General features: G+C 36.4%; 1 protein-coding gene across 3 annotated transcripts in view; it reads left to right on the top strand.

Annotated features, from left to right (window-relative positions):
- The window catches only part of RSF1 (remodeling and spacing factor 1), a 212,224-nt gene that overhangs the window by 150,975 nt on the left and 34,181 nt on the right, over positions 1-27,068 (top strand). For 2 of the 3 annotated variants that reach the window (XM_017017923.2, NM_016578.4), the window contains exons 6-7: positions 18,763-20,537; positions 22,565-22,771. In XM_017017923.2, the coding sequence (XP_016873412.1) occupies positions 18,763-20,537; positions 22,565-22,771 (1,982 nt within the window). The remainder of the gene's footprint in view (positions 1-18,762; positions 20,538-22,564; positions 22,772-27,068) is intronic. The other variant, XM_005274051.3, reaches the window with a different exon arrangement.

The following is a 27,068-nucleotide window of genomic DNA, read 5'->3' as shown; positions in this document are numbered from 1 at the left end:
GCTGGAAACAGTCCTGGGGAATGTCTAACATAGAGTGTTGAAGCAAAATGTGACAAAAGTTAAAAATTAAGCATGGTTAGATATTTGCAAATTGGGCAGCAAGAAATAAAAATAAATAGGCACTGGAGAGGGAATAACAACCACTCTTATTCTTGTAGCTAAAATAGATTTTTCTTTAGTCATTAGTTAAATTGCCATGCCTTGTATCTTAACTCAGTAAGATAAGTTTTTATTTTTGTATAGGTGTTAAGGAGAAACGTATTAACTGTAAAAGTGGGCAAAAAAATGGAAAATGGCAATAAGTGGCCTAGAAAATGGTGACACCAACTAAATAATTAAGTTGACTTTGTTTCAAAGACAATTCGAATTGCCTTCTGAAAGTCTAAATTTGCTAGACTAACATTCAGAATCTCAGTCTGGTCTCTCTTTCTAGCAATAGCTCCTGCTTTTTCTTACATGAGTACTGGTTCCAGATCATCTAGATGCTTTTGTTTTCTCCATATGTCTTGGGCATTCCCTTCTGTGTCTGCATGCTGTTTCTCTCCCTCAGATGTTGTCTCCCCAACTCCCATGAAAGTCTGATTATACTTCAAGGAACATCTGAAACTTTATTTATACTATTTGTATCCCACTTATATTAGGGCTAGTCGTGGCATCAGGCTTGAAACGCTCAAATACTTTTTGAGTTGTTATTCTCAGACTGTGGTAGATTTCCAAGTAAGTGTTTGGTGTCATTTATACCCTTTTATGGGAGTTTAAGATCCATTGTCTTAATTTAGGTGATAATACTACCTGGAAGGTATCGTGCATATAAAACACCATGGAATTTAATATATATTTTCTCTCTACATTGGATACTGTATTCTAATTTAGAAGGGACCAAAAAGTTAAAAAGAAACTTTTCTGGGGAAAAAGCTGAGGGAAGCCCAACTAACATTTAGTTTTTAATTCTACTAATTGAAAGAAGACTGTCCTTTTTTAAATTTTTACAGTCATGCACTTCTGCCTACAGGTGATCAGATAAGATATCACTTGAGAATTTCATATAAAGAACAGAATTTACAGACTGGCAGCTCACAGACCTAATTTGGCCCAAAAACGTGTTTATTTTGGTTTCTACAGTGCTGCTTTGTTTTTAAAAAGCTAAGATAAAATTCACCATTTTAGTGATTTTAGTATATTCACAGCATTGTGCAACCATAACCACTAATTCTAGAACATTTCTAGCACCCCACAAAGAAACTCTGTACCCACTTAGAAGTTACTTGCCATTTCTCCCTACCCTCATCCCCTGTAAACCATTAATCTACTTTGTCTTTATGGATTTGTCTCTTTGTAGCATTTCATAAAAATAGAATCATACAGCATGTGGCCATCTGTGTCTGACATTTTCATCTAGCGTAATTTTTTTAACATTACACTAACATAATGTTAAAAACATATGCTAAATATTACAACATCCATGTTGTAGCATGTATCAGTACTTCATTCCTTTTTACACATGAATAATATTTATTTGTATTGATATACCACATTTTATTTATCTGTTCACTTGATGGACATTTGGATTTTTCCACCTTTTGGTATAGATAATGCAGCGGTGAATGTTAATATACAAATTTTTGAGGGAACATATGTTTTCATATGACTGATTTTTTAAATGAAGTTGCTGTCGACATCTAAAATTGAAAATTAGAAAAGTTGTCAACTTTGGATCATCATTTTTATATGTCAAAAATACTCTGTAGCTGAGTAATGGTTGTTTCTATTTACGTGAGATTTACACTCCATTTTGCCATACTCCTTTCTTTTGTCCTCTAAAATCGGGCTTAGTCTCAGGTGCTTGGACTTATATTTTTTTCTTACAGTGTAGTTAACATGAAAATAAGATATTTATTGTATTCATGTCTTTATCAATTTTGGAATAACAAAGACCAAGAATTATTTCAGAAAAAGGAGAGAGTTGCTAATTGTTGAAGTGAAGTATGTCAGTATAGTTGGTTTTTGTATTTATTTATTTTTAGAGTCAAGGTCTTGCTCTTACTCCCCAGGCTGGAATCTAGTGCCACAATCACAACTCACTGTAACCTCCATTTCCTGGGCTCAAGGGATCCTCCTGCCTCGCTGGGACTACAGGCACATGCTACCATGCCTGGCTACTTTTTTAATTTTTTGTAGAGACAGGGTCTCACTATGTTGCCCCATCTGGTCTCAAACTCCTGGCCTCAGGCAATCCTCCCCCCCATCTCCCAACATGTTAAGATTATAGGCGTGAGCCACTGCACCCAGCCCAGTATAGTTATAGTAGGTAGATTAACTTACTGATGATTTTCCTTTGATCATTATTAATGTGATGTCAGATATAAAGCTTAAGTTCTATGTGGCAAAATAATATAACTTAACGTAGTCTATTAGTCTGTTCAGGCTATTCATAACAAAATACCACAGACTGGATGGCTTAAAACAACAGAAACTTATTTTCTCAGTTCTGGAGTTAAAAGTAGCAAATTTGATTTCTGATGAGGGCTCTTTTCCTGGCTTGCAAATGACTCTCTTCTCTGTGTGTGTGGAGAAAAAGCTATCTGTTTTCTGTTCCTCTGATCTTATAAGAGCACCATTCCTGTAATGTTAAAGTCCCCCACTCTTGTGAGAATTCTTTAACCATAATTACCTCACCAAAGGCTCTGTCTCTAAATACAGTCGCATTGGGGATTAGGGCTTCAATATATGAATTTGTGGGGGACACAATTCAGTCTGTAACATGTAATACTATGAAACTATCCATTGTAAAAACTATGATGGTTAACGTAAAAGGTACCTGAGGAAGAAATTGGGAGGGGGAGGACTGATATTTTAAGGAGATTCATTTTTGAATGCTGAGATGTGCAGCTATATATTCTTAAGAGAAAACTATTACGTGTATCAAAACTGTTTTTTTTTCTTTTTTTTCTGAGACGGAGTTTTACTCTTATTGCCCAGGCTGGAGCACAATGGCGCGATCTAGGCTCACCGCAACCTCCACCTCTTGGGTTCAACCGATTCTCCTGCCTCAGCCTCCCGAGTAGTTGAGATTACAGGCGTGTGCCACCAGGCCCAGCTAATTTTGTATTTTTAGTAGAGACGGGGTTTCTCCATGTTGGTCAGACTGGTCTTGCACTCCCGACCTCAGGTGATCTGCCCACGTTGGCCTCCCAAAGTGCTGGGATTACAGGTGTGAGCCACCATGCCCGGCCAAAACTTTCTTTTCATTTTGAGTTTGAGTGCAGCAAAAAAGTGTATCAAACTAGAATGAGCATTTGCATATGTAAGGACAATTGGAAATACTCTTGCTCGTAGTGAATAGATTACTGGTAATAAGTGAGACAAGATGTTAAATTATTTTTTATATTTTCTATTGTACCTGATGAAAGCACAGATATTTATGATGTTACTCATAATGATTTCTTTGTAACTTTGATGAGAATTTTAATATGACTGGAGATAAAAGAACTTACTTCCCTGTATCGTTATCTAGGGACTTTTTTGTATTAAAAAAATTAAAAGTGGAACATGGCATTGTCATGGTAAACTTGTGAATTGGATAAGCTCCCATACATGAGTCAATGTGTTCATTAATAAATGAGCTACACAACACAGTATTTTTCCATACATTGCAGTTTTATATCTTTAGTCCCTGTCGGGATCCTTCTTAGGTTTCAGTATTCAGATTCGCAAAACTACTACAGACAACACTTGGCATCAGTATACGGAGATCGATCTAGGACAGGGATCATAGCTTGCCAACAGGAGCAACATCTAGCCTTAGGAATAGTCTTTGCAACAGTTCTTATGGCCATCCAGAAGCTGTTTTCTCCCAGGTGACAACTGGAGAAACAAGCAGATGGGATTTATGTTGAGAGGGTCCAGGAACCACTCAAAAGCCTCATGTTCCATGGAAGCCAATATCTCTTCTATCAACTCTGTGGACCAAAGTTCCAGGATTCTCACTGTATTCAGGAGGCCCCAAGGGTGACACCCTTATCCTGTATTTATATTATTTTTTTATTCTAGATTGCAAGGTGTTTTTTTTTTTTTTTGGTTTTTGGTTTTTGTTTTTTTTTTGCCCATGCTGGGGTACAGTGGTGCGATCTTGGCTCACTGCAACCCCCACCTCCTGGGCTCAAGTGATCCTTCCGCCTCAGACCCCCAAGTAGCTGGGCCTACAGGCACAAGCCACCATGCCTAGCTCATTTTTGCCTTTTCTGTAGAGATAGGGTTTCACTGTGTTGCCCAGGCTGGTCTTGAACTCCTGAGCTCAAGTGATCCACCCGTCTCGGCCTCCCAAAGTGCAAGGATTATAGGCATGAGCCAGCATGCCTGGCTGGGTTTAAATTTTTTAATTGACAAAGAAAAGTTGTATATATTTATGGTGAAATGTCTAAAACTAATTCCATATTGTGGAATGTCTAAAACTAATTACCATATGCATTGACTCACAGACTTATCTTTTTTGTGATGAGAGCACTTAAAGTCTCCTGTCCTAGCAATTTTCAGGTATACAGTACGTTGTTGTAACTGTAGTCACCATGTTGTACAGTAGTAGATCTCTTGAACTTACTCTTCGTAACTGAAAGTTTTTATCTTTTGACCAGCATCTCCCCACACCTTCAGTCCCTCATAACCACTATTCTACTCTGCTTCTGTGAGTTCAACTCTAAGATTCCACATGTAAGTGAGATCATGGGGTATTTGTTTCTGTTCCTGACTTATTTCACTTAGCATAGTATCTTCCAGGTTTATCCATGTTGTCACAAATGACAGGATTTCTTTCGTTGTTAATGTTGAATAATATTCCATCATGTATATAGATCATATTTTCTTTATCCTTCTATCTGTTAATGGACACTTAGGTTGATTCCATATCTTGCCTATTGTGATTAATGCTGGAGGGAACATGGGAGTGCAGATATCTTGTTAACAAACTGGTTTCATTTTCTTTGGATATACCCCGTAGTGGGATTACTGAATCCTATAGTACTTAATATTTTTAATTTTTTGAGGAACGTCCATACTGTTTCCTATATGGCTGTACTACTTCACATTCTCAACAACAGTGTACAGGGATTCTCTTTCTTTTTTTTTTTCCTCATTTTTGCCTACACCTGTTGTCTTGTCTTTGATAATAACCACCCTAACAGGCGTTAGGTGATAACTCATTGTGGTTTTAGTTTACATTTTCCTGATGAGTAGTAAGATTGAACATTTTTTGATACTTGTGGGCAATTTCTAGAAACTTATGGATGGGGATCAAAAAGTTTATGTACTGAATGTATAATAATGCACTAGCCAAGCATGGTGTTGCACGCCTTTGGTCCCAGCTACTGGGGAGGCTGATGCAGGCTTGAGCCCAGCATGTTGAGGCTGCAGTGAGCCGTGCTCACACCACCATACTCCAGCCTGTGCGACAGAGTGAAACCCTGTCTCAAAAAAGGAAAAAAAACTACTATTTTTATTATATAAGACATTGTTTTGGCAGGGTGTGGTGGCTCACGCCTGTAATCCCAACACTTTGGGAGGCTGAGGCGGGAGGATCACTTGAAGTCAGGAGTTTAAGACCAGCTTGGCCAACATTGTGAAACCCCGTCTCTACTAAAATTACAAAAATTAGCTGGGTGTGATGGCATGAGCCTGTAATCCCAGCTACTTGGGAAGCCAAGGCAGGAGAATCGCTTGAACCTGGGAGATGGAGGTTGCAGTGAGCCAAGATTGCGCTACTGCACTCCAGCCTGGGCGACAGAGTGCAACTCCCTCTCAAAAAAATAAATAAATAAAATAAAACATTGTTTTACTTTAAACAAGTATAGGGAGACTAATAAATACAGATGTTATTGTTACAACATTATGATATCTAAAATAGTTTCCTTTTATAGGAATAAAAGAAAAGATACTCTTTATTATCACCATCTGTCTTTTACATCATGTTTGAGTTAAGTAGAAAAAATTGACAGGAAATACATTGACGTTTGCATTTCTTTCTTGTATTTTTTTGCCATAAACAATAGGATACAGACTATAGTGCTGCTGCTTTTTTTTAAAGAACTTAAATAATTTTTTAACTCCTCTATCATTCCCAATAATTTAAGAACTTTTTTTAAGAGATAAGGTCTTGCTCAATTGCCCAGGATAGAATACAGTGTCATGATCATAAATCACTGTAACCTTGAACACCTGGGCTCCAGCAATCCTCCTACCTGAGTTTCCTGAGTAACTCAGACTACAGGCATGTGCCACCATGTCCAGCTAATTAAAAAAAAATTGTTTTTGTAGAGATGAGGTCTTGCTATGTTGCCCAGTCTTAGACTCCTGGCCTCAAGGAATCCTCCCACCTCAACCTTCTAAAGCAGTGGGATTACAGGAGTAAGCCTTTTTTTTTTTTAAAGACAAGGTTTATGCTCTGTCTCCAGGCTAGAGTTGAGTGGCTCAAACATGGCTCACTGCAGCTTTCACCTCTAGGGCTCAATCAGTCCTCCTACCCCAGCCTCTTGAGTAGCTGGAACTACAGGCATGCGCCACTGCGCTTAGCTAATTTTTGTATTTTCTGTAGAGACAAGGTTTCACCATGTTGCCCAGGCTGGTCTCAAACTCCTGCGCTCAAGTGATCTGCCTGTCTCGGCCTCCCAAAGTGGGATTACAGGTGTGAGTCACCACGCCTGGCCTCTAGTGCTTCTTATGTGAAAGATTTTTCCTTATTGGAGAAGGAGGGAAGGAAGGAAGCAAGGAAGAAAAGGAGAAAGAAACAGAAGAAATCTTTCATGATTGGAGGAACTGTTGAAATTGGTTTGCTCTGAGTTTGTTGTGGTTTGAATTAGAAGGGGAAAATTTATCATTCATGAATTTTGGAAAGTAATAGTGGTGTGGATTTTGAGTCTCTACCAATTCCCCCATAAAAGGAACATATTGATGGTAACAACAAAAACGTATAGACAAAATCTACAACAAAGGTCTTAAAGATTCTCAGGTACTATGGGCCTCATGAATTCTCAATCCTCACCACCCAAAGCCTTTCCAGGATTAAGCTCCACGCTGATGTGAAACTGCTGGGCATAGGCTCCAAATTAAGTAGGACAGGGACAACAGGACAAACAAAAAGAAGGTTCAAATAAATTTATGGGAGAAGAATAGAGTTAGGTGATCTCATAAAGTACATTGCTTTAATTTGAGTATTTCACAAAAATAACGGGAGCTCTAAAGTTATGAAATTGGCAAAACTATCATAAAAATGACTTTTTTCTAAAAGTTTAGGAAATCTACTTGTACATAAAACCAGACAACTAAAAGGGAGCAAGTTCAAATCTCCTGGGATTATAAGAACAAGAGAGAACAAGAAGCAGAATAACATCCCTACGGACAGTGAAAGCTTCTCAGAAAGACATGCCCATCAAACATGAGCACTATAATAAGTGGTAGGACTCAGAAGAGTTAAAATTTTAAAAAGATTAAGATAAACATCTGAGTCAACAAACATAAGAATTAATGCCTTTACAAAATAGAAAATTAGAAAACAGGGTATTTGTAAAAAACAAAAGAAACATAGGATATAAGGATTTGAGAGAAAATGCTATACTGAAAATAGGCAAAGAAGATCCAAGAGATAGGTGTCCACAAAAAAGAAAAAGCAAGGGGACAGATAAATAACTAAAGACTGTGTTGGAAAACACTTTCCTGAAGTAGTTGGAAACTCAGTGCAGACCATTCAACATCAAGACATTTTCTAGTAAAATTACAGGGCTTTGAAGAAAGAAATACCTTGCGTATCCAGACAAAAAGACCAAATGACTTACAAGGGAAGGAAAATCAGACTGCCTTCACTCTTTTTGACATCAGTGCTTTATTCCAGAAGAAAATGCCATAATGTATTTGAGAGACTCTCGGGGGGAGAAAATGTCAGCCAGGGACTTTATGTCCAGCCAATGTGACTTTCAGATAGACTGCAGATAAGCTGTTACCAATATCTATAATCTCTTTTCCCGTGAGTGTTTTGTATAGGAATCTTCTCGTGAATGAGCTTTAGATAGCCAAAATGACTGACAAAACATCAGTAGTAGGTGATAAATAAATAAAAGTTTAATCATATGTATGAGTTAGTATACCTGCATATATGTGTTTATGAGAGGAATCTAAGAGCAGTGACACCCCAGTAACAATGAACACAGCCTCCAGATTTTGATTTCAAAATGTCATTCTCCTGTAAGAGGAACCAGAGCTCCTTAGAGAAGAGATTGATCTCAAGAACAGGCAGGGAAAACACAAGATGAGCCTGAAACATCTGGTAATGCAGGAAAATAAGGATGTGCTCAAAAAGGGATTTGGGCGTATCATTAGGACATAGGTGCCAGTGGAAGGAGTTTCCCAATATTGAAAGCAGTAAGAGTTTTAGTAACAAAATATATAAAGATAGATTTTAATCCATAGAATAATATCTATGAGTTCAGACTTATGTAAGTACAATTTGAATAAATAAATAAAGGTGAAGGGGCAGCTTTTCCCTGCAAGTGAACATAAGTTAAAACATGTAGATGTAATGAGGGAAGTAGAAAATCACCATTAAGAAAATGCTACAGTAATAATTGTTGCAAGCAAGATCCCTGATAGATACTAAAATTAGTGGGTGAAAGTTTGTTTAGAAGCAGGATATTAGCATAATTTCAAAGTATCTCCCCCAGGATATTTATCTGTTACAAAGGTGAAAATGGTAATTTTACGGTGAAATAACCAGTTGACATCACCTTAATCAAATAGTTAACCTCACCAGTAAGGTGTTGTATTAGTCTGTTCTCATGCTGCTAATAAAGATATACCTGAGACACCTGAGACTGGGTAATTTATAAAGGAAAGAAGTTTAATGGACTCACAGTTCTGCATGGCTGGGGAGACCTCATAATCATGGTGGAAGGCAAAGGAGAAGCAAAGGCATGTCTTGGCGGGAGGCAAGAGAGCTTGTGCAGGGGAACTCCCATTTATAAAACCATCACATCTCCTGAGACTTATTCACTACACGAGAACAGTATGGGGGAACCACCCCCGTGATTCAGTTATCTCCACCTGGCCCTGCCCTAGACACATAGGGATTATTACAATTCAAGGTGAGATTTGGGTGGGGACACAGCCAAACCATATCAGGTATATTGACATCATGTAACTCTTTATACAAAGCACAACGTAACTTTTGTGGAAGTATTGTCAAAAAATTCCACATTAGATTGTATAACCTCAATCTAATCTAGAGAAAACACCAAACAAGCCCAAATTAAGAGGTATTCTACAGAATAACTGTGTCAGGGTCAGAAGAGACAAAGAAAGAATGAGGAATGGAGGAGACTAAGGGTTGGAGGAGACCAAGGAAAAAAAGAATACACTGAGACATGGATCCTGGAATAAAAAAGGACATTGAAGGAAAACTGGTGAAATTTGAATAAAATCTGTTTAATAGTATTTTACCAATGTTAATTTTCTGTTTTGGTAATTGTACTCTAGTTACGTAAGTTCTTAACATTAGGGAAAGTAGGGTGAGAGTGCACTTTAAGTTTGTTTGTTTGTTTGTTTGTTTTTGAGACGGACTTTCGCTCTTCTTGCCGGGCTGGAGTGCAATGGCTCGATCTGGGCTCACTGCAACCTCTACCTCCCAGATGCAAGCAATTCTCCTGCCCTCAGTCTCCTGAGTAGCTGGGATTACAGGCACCTGCAACCACGCCCGGCTAATTTTTTTGTATTTTTAGTACAGATGGTGTTTCACCATGTTGGCCAGGCTGGTCTCAAACTCCTGACCTTGTGATCCGCTCGCCTCGGCCTCCACAGTGCTGGGATTACAGGCGTGAGCCACTGCACCTGGCCACATACACAAACTTTTTAAACTTTTCTTTAATGACATTGGTAATGGTATCAGTATTGTTATTCTGAAAATGTTTTGTATATAATTTGAGACAAAATAGTATGATATCTTAATTGTATTATCTGTGTCCTTGAAAACCAAGATTTTCAGTGTGGGAAATGCAAATAATAGGTAAGCTAGAAAAGGTTAAGAAAACATGAACTATCAGAATGAACTCATGAGTTTTATCTTTTTTTTTTTTTTTTTAAGTTAAAAATGTGTGGGGGTCAGGGGGGGTGTCTATGTGTGTGTTTCCTAACCCTGTTTACTGAAAAGGCTTAGAGACATTGGTAAACCCAGTACCTGTGAGCATCCTCAATGCCCAGATCGTGGTCTTGAAATACAACTTCCCACAAAACTAAACCAATTAAAAAAATCAGAAAAATGGTTGATTTCAGTTCTGCAGCATGATAAGCTAGGAATCATCTTGTCACTCCAGGTAGTAAGGAAGTTATCAAAGCCATGTTAAAATGACTCAAAGAGTCAAATACGTATCCTTCCTTTTGTATATGAACTTTACCACTATATAATAAGATAGTAAATGAGTAAAGTACTTTTGTTTTTATAAAAGTATTCCAACTAGTCACAGATGAATGAATGATAGAATGGGAATGTCAGCATTCTGAAATTGCTAATAAATTAAAAGTTTTTATATTGAGTATCAACATCTGCTAATAAAAAGAGAAATAACCAGGTATCATATGTCTCTTAATAAAGAACTCCTCAACACCAGAGAAGTAGTTTTGCCACAGAAATTGAACCTGAATATGTTGAAGTGATGATTCACAGGATAAACAAAGAACAGAGGAACATGGGAATGTAGTCTACAGTATCTGGAAACTGTAGGACAGTGGATTTGGTGTCCTGAACAAATAAATTGCAAGAAAAATAAGGGATAGAGGGGATAACATTAACGTGTCCTTAAAAAGAAAATAAACTTGTAAAACTAAACTATCAACAAAATAAGGAATAAGTTCAAGAGATATGTACTATGTGGTGACTAGTTAATAACACCGTATGCCTAAAATTGCCAAATAGATTTTAAGTGTTTTCACTACAAAAAAAAAATTATATTGTGAGGTAATACATATGTTAACTAGCTTGATCTAGCCATTCTACACTGTATTTATATTTCAAAACATCATTTTGTGTGCCATATATACAATTTTTACTTGTCAACAATTTTTTTTTAATTTAAAAAAGTGAGATTAATAGTTATTTTTGGTAAAGAAGAGAATTATTATTAGAAAAGGCATGTATAGCTCTCTTGGGGTAGCTGCTAAATTTCTTTTTCATTTTTGCCTTCTACTGTATTAAGCTATGCATTTGTTTTGTGTGGTTTTCTTTGCTATACTTAATCATTAAAAAATTCTTGATACCTTTGTCAAGTAAGTACCATGAAATTTTAAAGTAAGTTATAAAAGAATTGTCACTGGTCAGGTGCAGTGGCTCATGCCTGTAATCCCAGCACTTTGGGATTAGCCTGGCGTGATGACTCTTGCTTATAGTCCCAGTTACTCAGGAGGCTTAGGCAGGAGGGTTGCTTGAGCTCAGAAGTTTGAGGTTATAGTGAGGTATGATCATACCAGTGCACTCTAGCCTGGGTGACAGAGCAAGACATTGTCTCTAAAAATAAAAAAACATTTAAAAAAAAAAGAATTGGCACAAATTCAGATCCCTTTATCATACAGCAAAATGGTGCAGGCAGCTTGCATAAAATTTTCCATTATGTGCATCTTGATAGTATCAAATGATAATTTCAGTATTTGAACCCATTTTGGAAACTGTTAAGTCTGTTGACATTTTCAAAATCGTGAAAGTTTCTTTGGCAAACAAAACTTCAGTTGTTGACATATACTCTTAGACACAGGTGATATTTCACCTGTCATATTTCACTCATTTCAGTCAACAAATATTTATTGAGTATATGCAGTTTGTCATGCACTATCTTCAGTATTGTGAATGTAGCCGTGAACAAAAGCAGTCAAATTTTTCCCATGATGGAGGTTACATGTCATAATTATCAAACAATAAACAAGATTAGTAAATAAAATATATAGTATAGATGGTGGTAAGGAGGTGTGGAAGGAAAATAATTTGGGGAAGAGAGTGGGGCATGATTTTAGATTGAGTTGCTAGAAAATGACTCATGGAAGAGTTGGTACTTGAGTAGAGTCCTAAAGGATCTGAGAGAGCAAGCCATGCAAATACCAGAGAAAAAGGATTTTTATGCTGACAACAACAGTCAGGACCCTGAGGTGGCACAACCCTGCTTACTTACTATGTTAGAGCAAAGATTGACTGACCAGGGTTTATCTTCCAAATCTGGCCTGTGCCACCTGTTTTATTAATCAAATTTTATTTATTCATTTAATATTTGATTGTCAATGACTCCTTTTTCACTACAATGGTAGACTTGAGTAGTGACAGACTTCATGGCTTGGGAAGCTAATAATATTACTGTGACCCTTTATAGAAAGTTTGCTGGTCTGTTTCATAGAAAAAACAAGGTTAGCAATATAGCTGAAGCAGAATGAGTGGGGACTATTTGTAACAGGGGAGGAAAAAGGTCAGGCAGGTAAGGCTCTGAAAGGGGGGAGAGAGACATGCCAATTGTGCAGGGCCTTGTGCTTTATTGACAATTTTGGTTTTGAATCTGAATAAAATGGGATGGCCTTGAAGAGCTTTTATAATTAGTTCTCTTGCAATAATCCTTTATTCTTGTTTCTGTCTTGATTCACTTGAATCTGTTGTCAATACTACAGCTAGTGAGAGCTCATTAAAACAAGTGAGATGATGAAACTTTGATTAAAACTCTTTCTGAGTGGGCTAGAGGATATGAAATGCAAAGCATTAATGGAAGGATTGGCCTTAGCTTAAAATAGACATCACTGGCTTTTTTTGATTTGGGGGATTTTTTGAGGACAGAGTTTCACTTTGTTGTCCAGACTGGAGTGCACTGGCGTGGTCATGGCTCACTGCAGGCTCAGCTTCCCTGGGCTCAGGCGAGCCTCCCACCTCAGCCTCTAGTATAGCTGGAACTACAGGGAACTACAGGTGTGCACCACCATGCCTGACGAATTTTTCTATATTTGGTCGAGACGGGTTTTATTATGTTGCCCAGGCTGGTCTCAAACTCCTGGGCTCAAATGATCTGCCCACTTTGGCCCACCAAAGTGCTGGGATTACAGGCGTGAGCCAACATGCCTGGCCAAGAGTACCTTTTCTGAAGTGCAGATCTGATTCTGTCACTCCACTCCCTGCATTAAACACACTGGGTTTCTTACTTATCTAGTTAAAAAGATATTACATGTTCACTATAGAAAACTTGGGAAAGTGTAAAGCAAAAAATAAAAATTAGTTGTTATCCTATTATCAAGATGCAACAATACTGTTAACATTGTGTTCTGTTTCTTTCTAGTCATTATTCTAGGCGTGGTTACAGATTTATTGGCTTATTTATGTGAATTAGGATTACATGAAAAATGAGTTTTATTTTCTACTTTTTGCACTTAGCATGCTACATGATAGTTTCACTGTCTTTGAAAAATTCTTTAATGAGGTTTCCAAGTGTAAAGCAGGCACTCAGTAAATATTTATTGAATAGTTATTGAATGGTTTTACCTAATTTATGCTAATACTACCAGTGTATGAGCATAATTCCTTCTGCCATATCTAGAAGCTTTGAACATTGTGACTAAATAAAAACTTTGCTGGTTGGTTAAATTAAAAATCTCACTGCTTTTTGAATTTTAATTTCTTTGATTACTAGTGGAGTTTGAACATTTCAGCCTCTGCATTGTTGGTTGACATCCATGGCTAATTTTGTTTTCGGATCTTTAGTTTTAGCTTATATTTTAAATGGTCTTTTAAGTAAATGCATTTATTAATCCTTCTTCAATGCAGTATACCTTAGCATCTGTTAAATGTATCATGTCCTTGCCCAAATCTCACTTTGTAGGTTGGTGAAATATGCTTCATAGAATTTTTAATTAAATATTGCTTTACAGTCTACATAAGACTTCCTGTTAGTAAAAGCTACCTCATGAAAAGTATTGATGTTATTTGCCAACATTTAGACTAGCTTTTGTTACCGTTTCAGTTATTCAATTTAGTCAGCACATGTTTGAGTGTCTTACTGCAGGTGAATAATCCATGATTTCTGCCCCAGAGTAGTTCATAAGACTGGTAGGATACATAGATTTGTAAATAAATAATTATAATTCTGGGCAGTAAGTGCTGCTATAGAAGTCTCTATAAAGCAATGTGCAAACACAAGAAAAGGAGCCGTTAATTCCTTATAGGGAAAGGATCAGATAAAATTATAAAATGGAGTGATATTGTAACTGGGCTTGAGGAAGGTAAGATCTTGCCTATAATATAATAATATTGGCAAACATTGAGTGCTTGCCTGGTATTACTCTTCTGAAGGCCTTATATGTAGTATTGTATGCAATCATTGGCAACCCAGGAGATTGTGCCTGTTATTTTAGTTGTTTTACAAATTAGGAAAGTGGGTGGAGGGTGGGAGGAGGGTCAGGATCAAAAAACTACATATCAGATACTATGTTTATTATTGCCTGGATGACAAAATAATCTGTATGTCAAACCCTCATGATACGCAATTTACCTGTATAACAAACCTGCGTACGTACCCTTGAACCTAAAGTAAAAGTTAAAAAAAAAAAATTAGGAAAGTGAGGAATCTTAAAAGGTACAAAATAGCAATTGCTTACTAGGCAGAGTTAACAGAGTAAAACAAAAAAGTGATGGCAGCTTTGGGAAACTGAATTTTCCGATGTGGCTGAAGTTTCTGGTAAAAAGATGGGGCCAAATAATTAATAATAGCTCCCAAGTACTGTGTAAAAGTACTTTGCATGCTCCATTTTCAAAAAGTCCCCTAAGATAAAAAGAAAAAAAAATCCTCACAGCTCCTCCTTGAGGTATAGATATTTATGTTTCAGTTTTAAAGAGCTTAGAGTCTAAAGAGACTTAGAAAGTTTCAAGTAATTTTCTAAAGGTCCCACAGCTGGCCAAGGTGGAGGTGACACAAGAGCGTTAAGGTTTGTCTGACTCTTTGAGAGTCTTAATTTTTTTTTTTTTTTTTTTTGGAGACAGAGTCTCACTCTGTCGCCAGGCTGGAGTGCAGTGGGGCAATCTCAGCTCACTGCAGCCTCTGCCTCCCGGGTTCAAGCCATTTTCCTGCCTCAGCCTCTCGAGTAGCTGGGACTACAGGCTCACACCACCCCACCCTGCTAATTTTGTATCTTTAGTAGAGACAGGGTTTCACCGTGTTGACCTTTGTGATCTGCCCACCTTAGCCTCCCAAAGTGCTGGGATTACAGGCGTAAGCCACTGCACCTGGCTGAGAGTCTTAATTTTTAATGAAATAGTTCAAATAAAAAATAGTATAAAACACTTGTATATCCAACATTTTATTTGTGTGGTGGGTTTTTTTGTTGGTTTGTTGGGTTTTTTTGTTTTTTTGGTTTTTTTTTGAGACAGGGTCTTGCTTTGTCGCACCAACAAGAATGTAGTGAGTCATAGCTCACTACAGCCTTGACTTCCTGGGCTCAAGCAATCCTCCCACGTAGCTGGGACCACAGCTCCTTCTCCAGGTATTGTGTATAGAATCTGGACCCAAAGAAGGGAAAAGGGCAAAAGGCACCAGTCAGCTGACTCCCTTCTCACCCACGACTTCCTCATACATGTCATTGGTCATAACTGGATCACATGACTCACAGCTTTAAGGTGTTTGAGGAGGCAAGTGCCTTCCTGAACAAAATAAGTTCTGTTTGTAAAAAGGAAGAGGAGAATAGATAATCGGCAGGCAACTCAGTGTCTTCTACTGTTAACTTTTATAGAATATTCAATGTATCATTACAGAGTGATTCTGCTAGGGGTGGTGGAGAAAGCACATAATAAGTGATCAATAAATATTTGTTGAGTAAATGAATGAATCACCTTTAAAAACCCACAGTAGCTACCACTTCTCTTGAGTCACCTCATTTGTGAAGAAATGTGATGCTGTGTTTCAATTTTTGGAGTGAATTTTTCCTTTGGTCACTTCAAATTTTATGCCTTTTAAACTCATTTATGTGCTCTTTTACAACTTTCTTTTGACAAACTTTGGGAAAATGCTTGTGTAACTGACCTTTTTACTAATTATTATAGTGCTTAAAGGTTCATATTCTGTCCTAGTTCTTCCTTCCTCTACACTATTTTGGAAACATATTTATTTAATTTAGAGGAGCTAGAATATTAATTGTTGTCATTTTTTTCTCTTAAAAGAACCAAGCCGGCCAGGCATGGTGGCTCACACCTGTAATCCCAGCATTTTGGGAGGCCAAGGTGGGCGGATCACCTGCAGTCAGGAGTTCGAGACCCGCCTGACCAACATGGAGAAACCCCGCCTCTACTAAATATACAAAATTAGCCGGGCGTAGTGGTGCATGCCTGTAATCCCAGCTACTGGGAGGCTGAGGCAAGAGAATCGCTTGAACCCAGGAGACGGAGGTTGTGGTGAGCTGAGATCATGCCATTGCACTCCAGCCTGGGCAACAAGAGCGAAACTTCGTCTCAAAAAAAAAAAAAAAACCAAGGCAAACACACAAAAAACCAAAGAATTTAACATTTTTAGAATAAAAGAAATATGACACCAGCGAAGAATAATAGTTGAGGTTATTTAGTCCAGCTGCTTTATTTATAGATGAAGAAAGATCAGTGAGTTTGTGACACACCCAAAGATGCATCACTAGCTAAATTAGTGTTAGTGAACCTGGGAATCTTGAACCTAATGTCATTTCTTGTTTTATTTTGCTATGTTGTTACTCAAACCAAGATCAGTTACCTTCGAATGAAAACATGGAGAAATCTGAAGAAACTGAGAAACTTAATTTTACGTTGGATCAGGGTCATGATGAAATCTTTAGATACTTTCTGAACCATAGAATAGGGATAAAAAATATTAACTTGTGTTTAGCCACACTTAGTATTGGGTTGAAGGTTTTTTTGTTTTGTTTGTTTGTTTCTATTTTTTGAGACAGGATCTCACTCTGTCACCCAGGCTGGAATGTATCCAGGCTGGAATGTGGTGGCATGATCAGGGATCAGGGTTAACCTTGAACTCCTGGGCTCCAGTGATCCTTCCACCTCAGCCTACCCAGTAGCTGGAACTACAAGCACACACCACCATGCCCCGGCTACTTTTTGTATTTTTTGTAGAGACAGAGTTTCACCATGCTGTCCAGGCTGGTCTCAAACTCCTGAGCTCAAGCGATCCACCCAACTTGGCCTCCCAAAGTGCTGGGATTAAAGGCGTGAGCCATTGCACGTGGCAGTTGAAGTTATTTTTAAAGATAGTAATCAGTATTTTAACCGTTAAACAAGGTGTTCATTTAGTTAAATTTCCTGATATACTAGCTAATCTCAATAAATGAGAATTTATTAAACCTGTTTTATCAGTGGGAAAGAGAAAACATGCAACTTAGGTAATTACTGTCATCTCTGTTTTTTTCTTACCTTATTTATGCTGTAGGACTTTTATATTTTGAATTTTTGAAATTTTTTTTTACTCTCATCTCTTGAAATATTTTAGCAGCATTCCCTATGGCACTGACTTTGTAAAGAAGGAAGAAATACTGATTACAGTTGCTTAACTCTCAGACACTGAATGGTTCTAAATGGTTCTTGGCTTTTTTATTTGCAACATCATTGTACATAAAAGAAATGGTGGTTAAATTTTCATTTCAAAAAACATATCCTGCTTTATCTTCTCACTTTTTTCCATCCCATTATTCCCATGAAGTATATCCTAACTGGTTTATCAACTTGACGAGAATCATTTCAAAATTTTAGGAAAAAAATTTATGTCTCAGTAAAACTTTGTTTAGAATTAGGTTTTTCAGTAGCAAGGATAAGGTGAAGGGATTAAAAATGTACGTAAAATTAGTAGTCAATGAATTCTGGAATGCAGTCTGTATAATCCTATTCAGAGATTATGCTATTTACTGAATATAGCTTTGGTTGTGTTTAAATCTGCACTAGTATTAGGTGCTCCTTAAAAGTTGAAAATATATAGCCAATAAGGTATAAAGAAGAATTGACAGATAAATCTAAACAGTTTCTTTGTATAGTACTAACTTCTGAAATGTTCAGTGGTGGCATTTGATAAAGTAAGTTGTAATATGATCACATTGAGGAATGTTATATAATTATTAAACTCAATTTTTATAAAAGGCATCATTTTATAAAAGTATCATAAGAAAGTGCCAATGTTTCAATGAATAAATTGAGGCAACATGATACCAACTTAGTGAAAAATATACAAGACCAGAAGGAAGTAACCTAAAATATTACTAGTGATTGCCTCTGGGTAATAGGATATGGGCTTTTTGTCTTTCTATATTTTTCATTTTCCCACTGCCGTGTTCCTGGTACCTCAGTGAAATGAAGTGCTCAGTTCTTTTAACAGTTGTCAGTTTTTAAAACAAATATAGTCTTCTGGAAATGTTTTAGGTAGCATTTTCAATTTTATGTTTTTAAGCCATCTCTTGAATTTGAATAAATTATTTGAACTGCATAAATATTTGCAATCCATTGAGAACACCAAAACAAAAAGTAAAAAGCAGAAACCTAAATTTTTCTAAATTTTTTTTAATATCTAGAAGTTGTATCTCAAAGTTTTTGTAATTTTCTTCATTGTCAGATTTTATTTTTTACTGTCAAATATCCAATGACAGAGGCCACCTCTTTTAAAATAGAAACTTTAAATGGAAATATACATTATACTAAGTCTTATATTTTATAGCCTTGAAAGTTTCTATTCATGTAATTAAGCTTTTTCTGATTTTTAGAGGAACAGAAAGAAAGTGAAAAGATGAAAAGTGAGGAGCAGCCTATGGATTTAGAAAACCGTTCTACAGCCAATGTTCTAGAAGAGACTACTGTGAAAAAAGAAAAAGAAGATGAAAAGGAACTTGTGAAACTGCCAGTCATAGTGAAGCTAGAAAAACCTTTGCCAGAAAATGAAGAAAAAAAGATTATCAAAGAAGAAAGTGATTCCTTCAAGGAAAATGTCAAACCCATTAAAGTTGAGGTGAAGGAATGTAGAGCAGATCCTAAAGATACCAAAAGTAGCATGGAGAAGCCAGTGGCACAGGAGCCTGAAAGGATCGAATTTGGTGGCAATATTAAATCTTCTCACGAAATTACTGAGAAATCTACTGAAGAAACTGAGAAACTTAAAAATGACCAGCAGGCCAAGATACCACTAAAAAAACGAGAAATTAAACTGAGTGATGATTTTGACAGTCCAGTCAAGGGACCTTTGTGTAAATCAGTTACTCCAACAAAAGAGTTTTTGAAAGATGAAATAAAACAAGAGGAAGAGACTTGTAAAAGGATCTCTACAATCACTGCTTTGGGTCATGAAGGGAAACAGCTGGTAAATGGAGAAGTTAGTGATGAAAGGGTAGCTCCAAATTTTAAGACAGAACCAATAGAGACAAAGTTTTATGAGACAAAGGAAGAGAGCTATAGCCCCTCTAAGGACAGAAATATCATCACGGAGGGAAATGGAACAGAGTCCTTAAATTCTGTCATAACAAGTATGAAAACAGGTGAGCTTGAGAAAGAAACAGCCCCTTTGAGGAAAGATGCAGATAGTTCAATATCAGTCTTAGAGATCCATAGTCAAAAAGCACAAATAGAGGAACCCGATCCTCCAGAAATGGAAACTTCTCTTGATTCTTCTGAGATGGCAAAAGATCTCTCTTCAAAAACTGCTTTATCTTCCACCGAGTCGTGTACCATGAAAGGTGAAGAGAAGTCTCCCAAAACTAAGAAGGATAAGCGCCCACCAATCCTAGAATGTCTTGAAAAGTTAGAGAAGTCCAAAAAGACTTTTCTTGATAAGGACGCACAAAGATTGAGTCCAATACCAGAAGAAGTTCCAAAGAGTACTCTAGAGTCAGAAAAGCCTGGCTCTCCTGAGGCAGCTGAAACTTCTCCACCATCTAATATCATTGACCACTGTGAGAAACTAGCCTCAGAAAAAGAAGTGGTAGAATGCCAGAGTACAAGTACTGTTGGTGGCCAGTCTGTGAAAAAAGTAGACCTAGAAACCCTAAAAGAGGATTCTGAGTTCACAAAGGTAGAAATGGATAATCTGGACAATGCCCAGACCTCTGGCATAGAGGAGCCTTCTGAGACAAAGGGTTCTATGCAAAAAAGCAAATTCAAATATAAGTTGGTTCCTGAAGAAGAAACCACTGCCTCAGAAAATACAGAGATAACCTCTGAAAGGCAGAAAGAGGGCATCAAATTAACAATCAGGATATCAAGTCGGAAAAAGAAGCCCGATTCTCCCCCCAAAGTTCTAGAACCAGAAAACAAGCAAGAGAAGACAGAAAAGGAAGAGGAGAAAACAAATGTGGGTCGTACTTTAAGAAGATCTCCAAGAATATCTAGACCCACTGCAAAAGTGGCTGAGATCAGAGATCAGAAAGCTGATAAAAAAAGAGGGGAAGGAGAAGATGAGGTGGAAGAAGAGTCAACAGCTTTGCAAAAAACTGACAAAAAGGAAATTTTGAAAAAATCAGAGAAAGATACAAATTCTAAAGTAAGCAAGGTAAAACTTGTCTTAACTTTAATTAAAAATATTTGTCTCTATATATTAATAGGTTTTTTGGTTTTGTCTAAAACTTAGTCATCAAAGACAACTGACAAAGTATCTTTCTTCCTCTGTCTGAGATACCTTTTCAGACTTTATACTCTTACTTATACTCTATACTCTTGTCATCTTTTAACTTTTTTAAGAAATTAAAAGTAGTATAGGAATATATTCTCCTTGTAAACTATTCAAATAATATCCAACCTGTAGAATTATAGAATGAGAATTCCCCATTGCCACTATTAACAGTTTGGGGATAATTGCCACTATTAACAGTGTGGGGTATAGTATCTTTGCAGTCTTTTTTTTTTTTTTTTTTTTTTTTTTTTGTGAGACAGTCTTGCTCTGTCGCCAGGCTGGAGTGCAATGGCACTATCTCGGCTCACTGCAACCTCTGCCTCCCTGGTTCAAGCGATTCTCTTGCCTCAGTCTCCCAAGTAGCTGGGACTACAGGAGCGTGCCACCACACCCAGCTAATTTTTGTATTTTTAATAGAGGTGGGTTTTCGCCATGTTGGCCAGGATGATCTCGATCTCTTGACCTGGTGATCCGTCCACCTCGGCCTCCCAAAGTGCTGGGATTACAGGCGTGAGCCACCGTGCCTGGCCCTCCAGTCCTTTTTCATGCATTTATGTGGATGTTCATAAATATTTACTTATTTAAAAAAGAAATTGGATCAAATATGTTCATTTTTCTGTGAGTTTTTCACTTAAAGTGTCTCTGAACTCTTCATGTCCGTAGATATAGTATCCCTTTTGCTTGTTAATGGCCACACAGTACTCCATAGTGTGGATATACCTCAGTTTATTTAACCACTCACTTACTGATTGACATTTAGGTTGTTTCCAATTTTTCACTATTACAGGCAATGCTGCATTGAAGATCCTTTTGGACATGAGTGAGTATTTCTTTAGAATAGACTCCTAGAATTGGAATTGCTGGGTCAAGGGACATGTATATTTTAAGTTTTGATAGCTACTTCCACATTGCCCTCCAAAAAGGCTCCATTAATATAGCATCTTATTACCAGTGTATGACAGTGCCTGTTTTCCCCATTTTACTCATTAATGTTGGTATTACTCATCATAACTATGACCCTGTTATTTTAAGCAAAATATTTTACAAGTCTTTTGCTAGTCTATGGGAATTTATCATAATCAAAAGTGCTACTTTTCTTTTTAATGTATTTAAACGATCAGATCATTCTTCATTGTAAGTGATCCTGTGTTCCCTGAGATACTGAATTTTTAATGTTTTCTTCTTTTGTTGTTAGACTTATTTTGTTCTTTGCTGACGACCTATAGTGTAGGAATAAACTAAAACACAAGTTAAAAGAGTATAAAACTACGCAATAAAAAGCTGTTAGTCACATTATAAATTTGCTCTCTGAATGTATATATTTTTACATTTGTCAGGATTTTTATATGCAGTTCTGGCTTATTTAAAATTTAAAATTTATCTCTAATACAGGATTTTAAATTTTTACATGAAAATATGTGAGAATATAGTCATCATTCTCTTACAAAGCATTTAAAATGTGCATGACCTTTGACCCAGAATCCTCTTCAAGGAATTTATCCTAACCACAGAGATGTGTGTAAAAATATTTGTAAAGATACAGTACATTGTTGACGAAAGTGAAAAACATGGGAAACAACTACCTAAATGTCTAGTAGAGGATTAGATAAAAACAGTTATGTAATGGCATTTATAGTAATGTTAGGAGAATGTGACTAGGAAAAATATAAGACCAAATGTTCATTATAATTCGGTTTTAAGAAAAAAGTAAACAAAAATGTAGAAAAAATAGTGGAAATATATACCAAAATTTAACCATAGCTATATCTGATGATGAGACTATAATAATTTTCTCCTCTTTTTTTGGTATATTGGCTGAATATTATTATACAATGGACATGTAATCAGGAGATTTTTAAAAGACATTCTTATATCAAATTATCCCAATTTTTTTTATTTTATACAAGGTAAAACCCAAAGGCAAAGTTCGATGGACTGGTTCTCGGACACGTGGCAGATGGAAATATTCCAGCAATGATGAAAGTGAAGGGTCTGGCAGTGAAAAATCATCTGCAGCTTCAGAAGAGGAGGAAGAAAAGGAAAGTGAAGAAGCCATCCTAGCAGATGATGATGAACCATGCAAAAAATGTGGCCTTCCAAACCATCCTGAGCTAGTATGTACCTGATGTAAATGAAGAATACTCATATTACAGACATGGTGAGGTTGCCTGGAGCAGCCTAACTCTTCTGGGTTTTATCATTATTTGAATTTCTTAATGATAACTTGTATGCTACAGAGTAACCTTTATTTCTGTTTCTCATATAACCTAATTGTAGGAAGGCCAGTGATCAAGATCCTACTTTCATTCTACTTGGCTTGTATATTGATATTTCCTCTACATAATAATACACCTCAATCTCTTCTCACAGATTGAGGAATGTATTCAAGTATTTTTAGTCTGTTCTTTTTAAGTTTTTCTTCTTTCCCTTTAAATTACTTAATAATGGCATTTCTGCCTGGCATGGTGGCCACATGCCAGTAGTTCCAGCTACTCAGGTGGCTGAGGTAGGAGGATTTGAGCCCAGTAATTCAAATGCAGCCTGGGCAGCATAGCAAGACCCTGTCTCATGGATGGCTGGATAGATAAATAGGTAAGATAAATAGGTAACTTTATAATGATATTTTTGAAGTGCCAGCTTTAAGTAAATTAGGCCTGAAGGCCTTACTGCCTTCCTATAAAAACATGTAAGTCAAGTAATAATGTAGTAGGGCTTTAAATTTTTTTTAATGGCAAAAGAGTGGCATTGGAATGTTTCTAAAACAAATGGTAAATGCTTGAGGTGATGGATACCCTAGTTACCCCATGTGATTATTACACATTAGATGCCTTTATTAAAACATCACATGTACCCTATAAATATATACACCTGCTATATACCGACTACAATTTTTTTAACATAAAAAATTTTTTTTAATTTATAGGAGAATAAATTGTAGACCAGATATATTCCAAAAAGAATAGTACCACTTTTATAGAGAGCTTTCTTCCCCAGGAAGTAAGTTCTTCAAAGGTTGCCTGAATCAGGAGAATCAATATCTAATCTATTATATATATAATATATATATTATATATTATATATAAATATATTTTATATAATATATTTATATATATTATATATTATATATAAATATATTTTATATAATATATTTATATATATATATAATTTGCAGTTCATAAGTGAGTCTGTTGAGGAAGTAGCCTTGTTATACCTAATTCTATGCACCTGTGCTGTTCTTTTGAATAGATTTCACTTTAAAGGCAAACTCCAGCTATTAAGTAGAAGAAAATGTAAAGAAAGATGTTTCTACCTGAGTAGAATTGTGTGGACCAGAAACATTTGAGATCCTCTAAAGTTTGGAAAATTCCTAAGAAGTGGTTCTCCAGCCTCTTTTTTCCTGCAAAGCATTATGATGTGATGGGAAAAGCATAGGGCCAGACAGCATGAATTCAGATCCTACTTATCAGGATACTACTTATCAGGAGCTATCTTCTCTGTATTTTGATTTCTTTATTGTAAGGTGGGACTCACGCCACATACTTCTGAGGGGTGTTTTTAACAGCTCATGTAAAGTTGCCTAGCACAGTTTCTGATCTATATTATGTGCTGGGTTAAAGTTAATTCTGGTTTACTTACTCTTTTCTTTCTTACTGTTAATATCATATCTGGAAGCTAAATGTATTATCAGTGAAATTTATCATAACCCAGTAGTTTTTAAAGGCTCAAGTAAAAGATAGAACCAGAGAATGACTTGAGCTCTGAGAAGAATAGATGTTGAAATTATGCTGAGAAGATCCCTCTAAGTATTTTATGATCATCAAGGCTATGCAAGTTAAGTCAATATTTTTATACAGATAAAGGCCAAGAGGACATTTGAGATAGTAGTCTTTTCTGCCTTCTAAATCAAGAAAAAAAAGCATCACTTGTGTTCTCTCCTTACCATTTTCTAATGTCCCTTTAAACTAAAAGAGGGCATTTTACCTAAGGCAGCAATGGCTGCTGTAATGAACTGATGTGAAGAAATGAGAAATAAAATGGTAAAATGGGGTGAGCAGAAATTATATTGTGAATGACATTGGAAACTGAAGATCCCAAATATGGTAGATTCTTATGCCAAGTGCTTAAGGATAATCCTCAAGTCAGAATACCAAGCAGCTATTATATGTTAAATCATAAGAATATGCTGCTGAGCTAGAAAGGCATGGTCCTTGTCTTAATTGAGCTTTAACAGCAGAAAAGCAATAAATGTATAAATGAATATAGAACTCTAAGGGATTTTCCAGATGTTTTAGTCAAAATAAATGGATTATCACCTGAGGCTTGGAAATCTTACATGGTAATATTTATTTAGTGAGACTTTGCCTTTACTGCAGAGTAGAAGCAATCTTCCCTTTAGAAATAAATTCTGAAAGTTTACCTGTAATTTTGATATTTGAAATTTAGGTTATGTTTTATAGAAACTATGTGATAAATTGATTAGGTGGCCAGGTTAGTCCACATGTGCCAATGTAATCAACTGTATACCGGAAGTATAATACTAATGTAAGTAAGTACCAAACCCTGGGTATTGCGAGCAAGTGGTGATGCATTGTAATGGTGTGCCTCCTCCCACCCCCATGGTACAGGTTAGGATTGCAGAAACTTCATCTATACTAGGGTTGAGCAAATAAATAAAGTGTAAATAATAGGAGCCATGATGAACCCTATGATGGTAGATTAGAACTGGAGATACTAGCATGAACTCCATGTTTATTTTAATATAGGCACAGAAAGATATATGTGTATACATATCCATACATATATATCTTAGCGCTGTCCTCTGAGAGAGATTAAAAGTAGTTGCCAGTAGCAGTGAGCTTTCAGAGCATCCAGATCTTGGTTTCTAAGTACCATTATCCAGTAAAGGAGCTAGGGCTTCTTGAAGAAATGGTTGGTTCTAAGGCTTGGGCAGGGAAAATACAAGATGTTCCTGAAACATCCTGTTGTGCCAGAAAGTAAGGAAGTACTTAAAAAAAAAATGCAGGCAAGTCCTAAGGACACAGGAGACAACCTGAAAGAGCTTCCATTGTGTCCATGGCTGGAACAGTTCCAACAACAAATTAAATAATGATAGCTTTGGATTGTAGCCCAAAGAATAAAATAATCATTAATTCATATTGATATAAATAATTGAATAAACAAATGTGGGGAAGAAGAGACTTATTTTCCTTACAGAATAATTCCTAATAACATATGTAGAAGGCATAAGGGAGATAGAAAATCACCATCAGAACACCACAGTAACAATCGTTGCAAGCAGAATCCCCGGCAAATGCTAAAACTAGTGAGCAGAACTTTAAGGAGAGAGAAGATATTGGCATAGCTTCAGTGCATCTCCCCCAAGGTATTTATTGATTTATTACTATTGAGATTTTAATATATATCCACAAATTATTTGATACTCATACTTCTAGAAAACTTAATTCCCTTACCCTTGAGTGTGGGTTGCATTTATCTTGAGAATAGAGTACGGAAGGTGACCTTAGAGTGGATAAAACCAACAGATGTACTTTAACCAAGTGACCAAAGTTAATAACAGCAGTAGTAAGTCATTGATAACATGTATCCCCTGATACAATGCAGTGAGCAGGGCATTTCCCCTCTGTAGGCTCTTCTCCAAAACCCAGAACCCCAGTCTAATCATGAGTAAACATCAAACAAACTCAAATTTCAGGACAGTCTACCAAAAATATCTGACTAATATAGTACTCTTCAAACTGTCGGTCAGGGAAGACAAAGAAGGACCAAGAAACGGTTACGTACTGGGGATACTAACAAAACATAACTGAATGTAAAGGGACCTGCAAGATTCAAAATCAACAAAAGGACATCAGTGGAAAAACTTGTGAAATCTGAATAGCCTGTTGTTTAGTTCATAGTATTGATGTTAATTTCTTAGTTTTGATAAATGTACCATAGTTATATGAGGTAATGGTGTTAAAAATTGGGTGAAGGATATAAGAGAACTTTGTACCATCTTGAAACTCTTCTGTAAATCTAAAATTATTTAAAAGTAAAAAGTTTTCTTTTAAATTAAACATTTTTGAGTATACTGTGTTTAGTTTTAGACCTTGGTCCTCTTAAACTCAAATACCGATAAAACAACTATAAGACTAAGTGATGTTACGAACCTTTGTATTACATGATGACGGTTCTGAATGTAGTTGTATTCCTTTTCTATACCTCAGTCTCTTCCTTATTTGAATTTACATGATAAAAAGAACCATGAGTGTTTCTTACAGGTAAGTAATTGAAATGCTATTTAAAATGGAAATTTTTTGTGTTTTAAAAATTCTGTGTGGTAGGGTAGTCTTTGATACTTGAGCTTTAAAACTTTGTTATAAGGAATATGTTGTTATAGCCTTTATGACT

This window comes from Homo sapiens, chromosome 11, assembly GCF_000001405.40.
Source record: "Homo sapiens chromosome 11, GRCh38.p14 Primary Assembly".
Taxonomy (NCBI): Eukaryota; Metazoa; Chordata; class Mammalia; order Primates; family Hominidae; genus Homo; species Homo sapiens.
Note: the sequence above shows the minus strand (reverse complement) of the source record. Positions and strands in the feature narration are given on the sequence as shown.